The sequence below is a fragment of the Homo sapiens genome, chromosome 5 (assembly GCF_000001405.40).
Source record: "Homo sapiens chromosome 5, GRCh38.p14 Primary Assembly".
NCBI lineage: Eukaryota > Metazoa > Chordata > Mammalia > Primates > Hominidae > Homo > Homo sapiens.
In genome coordinates, this window is record NC_000005.10 from 52463282 (window position 1) to 52471616 (window position 8335).

The 8335-nt window shown below is 36.5% G+C and overlaps 1 annotated feature.

Moving 5' to 3' along the window:
- Positions 914-1154: a silencer, noted in NCBI's record as "fragment chr5:51760029-51760269 (GRCh37/hg19 assembly coordinates)". NCBI's record gives its function as "represses an EF-1alpha promoter that drives an FKBP-Casp9 reporter gene in an ReSE screen in K562 erythroleukemia cells {active_cell/tissue: K562}" and the evidence as "EXISTENCE:reporter gene assay evidence [ECO:0000049][PMID:32094911]".

Below are 8335 nucleotides of genomic sequence, written 5' to 3' on the forward strand. Positions count from 1 at the left end.
GTATGTTTAAACTTCTCATCTTTACACTTGATATTGCCTCTGTGTGGAATGCTTTTCCTCCAAATATTCACTTAACAAGATCCTTCTAATCATGCAGGCCTTATTTCAGATAAAGAAGCACATCATCTCTCAGTTTCCCTTCAAACACACCAGTCTCTCAATATTCTATTAAGATAATTTCTTTATACCTGCCAAATGGTAAGGATTCAGTATTTTTTTTGAAGGAATGAGCCAGCCAACACAGAGGAAAAACAAGGAGTTTAGAAGATAAACTGAGGCAGGCATCGATAAATAGATGGCACGGTTAAAGAATTTTAAACTTTACCTTTTGATCTGTAGTAGTAAATCTGACAGCCTGTCTAGAGACAGTCCCTGAATCCAGAAGATTTAGCAAAATTAAAACTTCATCCCCATCCAAACCATCTATCTGTCTATCCATTCATTCATCAATCCATCTAATCATTTCTTTATTTTCATTTACTCATTTTAATTTCAGAATATATTTGTAATGTTATATATTAATAGACGGCCTAGATAATAAAATAAAATCAACAATAAAACCACCATATCTGGCTCATAAACTAGACATTCATAAAATTTGGTGGTTCAAGTTTAATTGATGGGGGGAAAGGGTCTTGAGTCATTCAACTAAACTGAAATTGTCCTTGCTCAGTGGCACTGGTCAGTTCATTAGAGAAGTGGGGACAGGAGTAAATGTTTATAAAGTTTTTTTACCCCCTTTGCTTGGGTTGGATTCAGACATGTGCCGTCCACGAAAAGGTTTTTTTCTGTTTGTTTGTTTGTTTGTTTGTTTTTGAGACGGAGTCTCGCTCTGTTGCCCAGGCTGGAGTGCAGTAGCGCGATCTCGGCCGCCTCAGCCTCCCGAGTTGCTGGAGGACTACAGGCGCCCGCCGGCGCGCCCGGCTAATTTTTTGTATTTTTAATAGAGACGGGGTTTCACCGTGTTAGTAGCCAGGATGATCTCGATCTCCTGACCTCGTGTTCTGCCGGCCTCGGTCTCCCAAAGTGCTGGGATTACAGGCGTAAGCCACCGGGCCCGGCCGAAGAGGTTCTTAATAAATCTATTCTAAGTATATTTTTAAATCTCCATTTTAAATCATTGTTTTATATTTTATTTGAGGAAGATTGTTATGATTTGGTTTTGGTGACCTTCAAATAGATTGTGCAATTTTCTAAAAATATTTAATAAACAAATTATTTTTGCTTTTCAGATTCAAGAACAAAATTTTACAGAAAAAGAAACGCAACTTTCAGTATGTTTTTTCTTAATGCGCTTGTGTTGTTATAAAATATTGCCAAGAGTTTCTTTGACTGTTTAAAGGATATTTAAATGTAGGGAGGTGTGCGTGTATGTATATGTTTTAAGTATACATATGTGCATGCTGTAATTTTTTGAAGGAGTTCATACGTATTATAAACAGCCATCCAACCTGATTTTAAGAGAGTAAAAGACGGGTATTCATATATGTTTTTTGTTCTTTTATGAGGCTGGAGTGCAGTGGCACCTACTTAGCTCGTCACAGCCTTGAACCTCAAACTGTCGAGCTGAAGCAATCCTCCTGCTTCAGCCTCCTGAGTAGCTGGGACTACAGGCATATGCCACCATATCTGGCTAATGTTTTAATTCTTTGTAGAGACAGGGTCTCACTATGTTGACCAGACTGATCTTGAACTCCTGGCCTAGGCCTCCCAAAGTGCTGGGATTAAAGGTGTGAGCCATCACACCCAGCCTCATATATGTTTGATACATGATTACATGTGGGTAAAGAGTACATTTATTAAATATTGAATGAAGATATTAGATATGGAATAAACGAGTCATCTTCACTGCTTTTTAGGAGATATCTCTGGGAGTTTGAGCAAAAATAAATGAATTTAACTCTCAAAAGTTAGTATTATAAACTGATATGAAGTAAGTATCACCCAATGGTAGGGACATCCATAGTGTAGAAGTAAATTTCCTATAAATTCTAGCATGTTTGTATTGCACTGATAATGAGAAAAAAAAGTGGAAATGTGGTCCTTGTGATTTTAAATCCACAAAAGTAATTTACAAACTCAAAGAGTATGGGACTGTTTAGTGCAATTGCCTATTTTTTGATGTCCACTATTCCTGACTCCCTATAGCGTTGTGGAACAGTGATGCATAGTCTTTCAGAATATGGTTTCCCTTTTCCTTCTCTCATATCTGTTGACTTAGTTAGCTTCCTTGTAAGTATGATTCCTAAACAGACTGGGTTTAATCAGAAGTTGATCTATGATGCCAGTGGGAACTATTGGTCAAATACTACAAGGTTCTTCAGTCAATACCACCTTTTAAAAATAAAGCCCATGAGCTAATATCAACATAAGTGGCAAAATTCTTCCAGGAGGGAATTTCAAGCATCTATTTCACTACTTGCTTTCATGGGTTTAAGCACAAGCTTGACATTATGTGAATGCGGTTTGCTGTGTTTAATTACTATCATTATTATTATTATAGATACAGTAGTAATTATCTCTTCCTACTGTCTCATTATGTTTTGATCAATTCACATAATAAAAGTTTACTGTAAATATAAGGTTAGGTAACATTAAAGAAAACATGTAATTATTGAATATATAATCATATACAATCTAAACAGCTGAACATTTCCTAACATTTCTAACAATTAAATATTTAGAAAGTAAAGAATTTGCTTCTTTTAATATGATAGGTGCAGTTCTGTAGGCAATGGCTACAGAAGGCTTTGTTGACCTAAAAGTACTTTACTTCTGTTATATTAATAACATCTAGATTTCTCAAAAACCTGCTGGCAAAAGAAAAAAAATCTTTTCAGCTTTATTAATGATTCATATGGCAGTTTCTGAAGAGACAAGTCCCACAGAGAAGGAGCACTTGATTAATGACCTGGAAACACTTTTCCTTTTCAGCTGATTAAATAAAATTGACTGGATTTTTACATTTTTATAATAAAATGACCCGCAGGGCTGAGATGACACAGTGAAAGCAGCATGTTCACTCTTCAGCAGATTTTTATTTTGTCACTTGTAAAAATGAAAGGGCTAACCACCCGAGCAGAAAAATGCACTTTATCATCGGCCATGGCTGCCATGCTGACAAATGCTGCATACAAATATAAAACCGTGAAGGAAAATAGACAGTGTTTATATTCAGCATGATTTTGTCTAACAATGACTAAAGTCTTATTATTCCTAGGCCTAGAAACTGTATTATTAAATTATTATTTAGAAAGGAAAAACCTAGAATTAAAAGAAAAGAACTTTAACCATTATCTGCAATCTTTAGAGGAATTCAATGTGGCCATAAGTAGGATTATTGGATACCATTACTGTAATCCTTCTATGTTTTTAGGCCAAAGGGATTCTCTTTGGAGATCTAACTTCTGTTCTTCTGTTCACACTAACAGGCTCAGTGACAGCCCTAAGCAAAACTGTGAAGTAGAAAAGATTGTTCTTTTCTTGCATTTCCCACAGCACCATCTTCTTTCTCTTTCTCTCTCTCTGGATCCTTTCCAGAGCACTCTTCAGCCAGGACCTGACCTCCCAGACTTGGTACCCTTTGCTGTCCCATAGCTCCCTAAATCCTTGCTAAATTGACTCTTCTCCTTAGAGTAGTGCTTTTGTTATTCCCCATCTCCCACCTCCCGGCTATGTCTGCTGTCTATCCCTATTCTCTGAGGTATACCAGTTCCCAGGCCCATCACCCCAGGTGATTTCAAACGGAATCCTTTCCTAGCTCTCAACTTGATAAAGGAGAGGCCAGAGGAAAAACTGTATTGAGTAATGATCTTTTAGACTAGAAGTTGGTGTACGGTAGCCCTGCATTTAGCCACAGATGTACTGTGTTTGGCTTAACACGTAAATTCGAGATGCAAACCTCATAAACTCTGGATGCTTTTGAAAACTCCAAAATTCTTTCAGCACTAGGCTAGCTTTCCCACATGGCAACGGACATCAGAAGCTGTCTGTGTGAGTTGAGATGCAGGCTCAGCACATCTTCCCTTCTCTGTAGTGCCCTTGACACTACAGCTGAATTTCATTCCCTTTATCTCATTACTCACATTCCATCTCTCTCATTGATAATGCCTGTCTGGTTCCTATAGGCCTTTAAATTTTTTAGTCCTGACCAAGATCTGTTCTTTCCGATCTCCAAAATAATATTTGTGCATTTTTTTCTTGTTTCCTCCTAGGGGAGAATATGTGTGTGTGTGTATACACGCGCACACACACACACACATTTTATATACAATATAAATATTACATATAATTACCCATAACATTTAACCCAATGAAATAATAACAATGAGATAATTTCTAGCTAGTAGGAGTGGCAGACAAGCAGCAACATACACAGTTAATGTGACAGTTGATATTTGGGGGCAGACATGAGCTTTCTGTCTATTGTAATGTTCTGTCCTCTCAACTGGCCTGATAGTCTCAAAATTCAAATCAGTCAACTAAGTAAGTGGGGTCATTTAAAATTTGGCAGAAAAAAACTCAGAGAAGACTAGCATTAGATAGTATACTTATCATCATTTCTATTTATTTTGGGAAGTTTCAGGATACAAATGCAGGCATTGATACATTTTCACAAAATGAAGAAAGTGAAAATCACTAAGAAATACTACCTGTTGACCTTGAGTTGACCAAGCACTGTTCAACGAAAGCTACCACAATATGCTACTAAGTCACTCTACTACTTTCTTTTGAGTATTCTGATCTATTTCTTCAGTAAGTACATAAGAAGTGATGCTGCTATAAATTACTTTGATGTTGCCGTACTCACCATACTAAAGTTGAGTAGGATGGGTTATATTATTATTTTTACATCATGATGATATCAAATGATAGAGAAATAGCCTGGTAGATTCCATTTTGTGATGTAAAATTAAAAATAATATTCATAATTCAGTACAAGTAATATTTCTGTATGATATATCTTTTAGTACTTATAACTTTCAATGCATTTTTCCATGCATTAATTCCCCCATATTAGCATGAATAGAAAAAAAAAAAGCCAGTCCTGTGGTGGCAGGAACTTTGGTCTTCCATGAAACCACTGTATATCTCGCCCTAGAAGGGTGCTTGCAAACAGTCAACACTCAATAACCATTCATTTTTTAGTAAATATAATGGCTAGATTTAAGGCCAATTAGACTATCCAATTGTGAAACATTTATATTGTCACTAGTAAATTTTAAGCAACCTGGTTATTTTGCCCTTTCCAATTCAATAGTTATCTGACTCAGTATGACTAGTTACAATTTGGTTACAGTTTGTTACAAACTGGTTATAAATTGTTACAATCTGATGCATACATGGTCATTCAATATTACATTTAATGCAAGAAATCCATCAAAATAATTATGTCTAGATCTCTCATAAGTACTATAGGGATACAAAGAAGTACATTAACATCTGCTCATGAGTTTACCATCTAGGCATATTAACAGTCTTATTTTAGTTTCCCTTTATTTAGAATGTCACTTACTAGTTAATAAGCTCCAATGCAGAAAACAATTTATATATCTTGTCTTTATGCTCTACACTCTTGCTTCTTGACAATCCTTTCTTTGTATAGTCACTAGTATATATGCAACTCATTTCATATTTATGTGTGTGTGTGTATTTTATGTAAGGTTGTTTCTAAATCTTCCCAGGGTAATTGAAGACTGTTTTATTTCTATTCATTGCAATATCAGTTTAGCTGTTTTGAGTTACATAATGATTTTAGCTTTGAAGTTAAAGGTCAACCCCAGGGCAAGAAGCACTTTACTGTGAAGCTGGAAATATAAAGAAGTGTGAATAAAACTGTTCATGACCCTGTGAGTCTCTGTGAGCCAGGACTTAAGCAAGAATTTGAAGGATGTCAAGTGCACACTCACTCCAACAGGCCATTATAAATGCCATACAAGTCTCCATAGTATGCAATAAGATTGGTGACACTAGACACATGGTGGGTTGCCTGTAGCAAAACCATGAGATAATTGCATTTACATGGAGATCTCTGAGGAGCACAAAGCCCTTTATGGATTTCATTCTGAATCGATTTATGCAATTCCCAAATGTGTTCTGCCAAATTACAAAAGGATAGATTATATTCTAACTTTTAAAGACAGAAAAATGAGGCTAACCAAAAAAAAAAAAAATAAAAAAATAAAAAACTAATAATAATCAGTATCTTACTGAAAGCCCCGGGAAACACTTTTAGAACTGTACATTTTACATGATATTGTCATGCCATTGCACTGTTGTTCTGTAAGCAAGAGCCCGCTACTACTACGCAGACGCTGAGGGAGGCCTCGGAAAACAATTTCATGCAGCTTTCACTTTCAGGTTTATAGGCTCTCACAAAAAGTTCAGAAGTTCAATTTGATGACATAATAAGAAGTTCAAGGGTTCCCAATCTATGACTGAAAGTAATACCATGAAATTAAAGTATGTAGATTATTTTTCCCTTTCACATGCTAAGAACAATTTCTGTTTCTAGATGGACAGAAAATTCAGAAAGAACTCTGCTTAGGCATTTTTCCATTTCTATCTTACATTAAATTTTCAAAGAGGGGTGAAAATTATTTTAAAAGTGGGGAAAATGAGAAATTCCTGGTGTTGCAGGGAAGTGGACACACTGAATGTGAATCTTACAGGACACTGCCAGCCCAGGGAGTCTCTGTGCTGGGTTTGGCCCCAGGGTTCAGATTTCTAAATTCCTTCTGTTGAAGAAACTCTCCTCTGAGAGGAACTTCCTCTTCTCTGAGAAAGCCTCTTTCTCCCAAATGCGGTTGATGGTGCTTTGGGTTTCACAAGTCAAAATTAAGTTTTAAACACTTCTAGGTATGCCAGCTTCCACTTTTTAGCACTGGTAAAACAGCTAAAGTCAAGGGAATAGAAATAGCTGGTTAGCCTCACTTTCATACTTTTAAAACACTGAAAACTAAAAACATCAATAAAGTTCACCCTTTTAAACTTTGTGGAGTATTTTTTGACCAAACTTAAAATATGGATGAAGATGGAAACTATCATTCTCAGCAAACTAACACAGGAACAGGAAACCAAACACTGCATGTTCTCACTCATAAGTGGGAATTGAACAATGAGAACACACTGACACAGGGAAGGGAACATCACACACCGGGGCCTGGGGTCAGGCCCTAGGGGAGGGATAGCATTAGGAGAAATACCTAATGTAGATGACAGGTTGATGGGTGCAGCAAACCACCATGGCATGTGTATACCTATGTAACAAACCTGCACGTTCTGCACATGTATCCCAGAACTTAAAGTATAATTAAAGAAATATGGGAAAGACTCCTAATAATTAGAATCTAAAGAGTGATACTGCTGTTCACTTTAGTTGATAAATATGAGAATGAGGTTTTATCAAACTGGTAATATATATTTGTAAATTTTTAGGACAAAATCATCTTATTTATAGGATATTATTTTCAACAGATAATTCAATTTATGTAACATCGTAACATCTAGATTCCTGATTTTCAAAACTAAGACTATAACATGATGAAGAATGCTGCATAGGCCATTGATCTAGGCAATGAGCCATCATATAGGCAGTTAGGGCCTATAGTAGTCCATTTTCATGCTGCTGATAAAAACATACCTAAGACTGGGTAATTTATAAAGAAAAAGAGTTTTAATGGACTCAGTTCCATGTGGCTGGTAAGGCCTTACAAACATGGCGGAATGCAAAAGGCATGTCTTACATCGTGGGTGGCAAGAGAAAATGAGAGCCAAGGGTAAGGGGTTTCCCCTTATAAAACCATCAGATCTCATGAGACTTATTCACCACTAAGAGAACTGTATGGAGGAAACCATCCCCCTGATTCAATTATCTCTCACCAGGTCTATCCCACAACTTGTGGGAATTATGGGAGCTACAATTCAAGATAAGATTTGGTTGGGGACACAGTTAAACCATATCAGGGCCAGAACTGTAATAGCAGCAACATGGAAACAATTTCCCTGGGATTTGCACCAGGGGCATGGAGGCATAGGTTTATAAGAAAATGATTTTGCATAGTCGTATAGCCCAGTTATACAACTAGAGATGTTCTCTCTCCTTGAATCTTCATCTGCAATTATGAAATGTGGGACTTAATTGTCCAGGGCAGGCTTTTATAGAATTTGGATGGATTCTATGAATTCTCTGACATTACATGCAAAGTGTGTGTCTGCGTGTGTGTGTGTGTATGTATGTGTGTGTATATGTGTTTCTTTGTGGAGAGAAGATACATCATTTCCCTCAAGATTTTCATGAAAATACATATTGAAACAAAAGGAGGGCCAGGGGTAT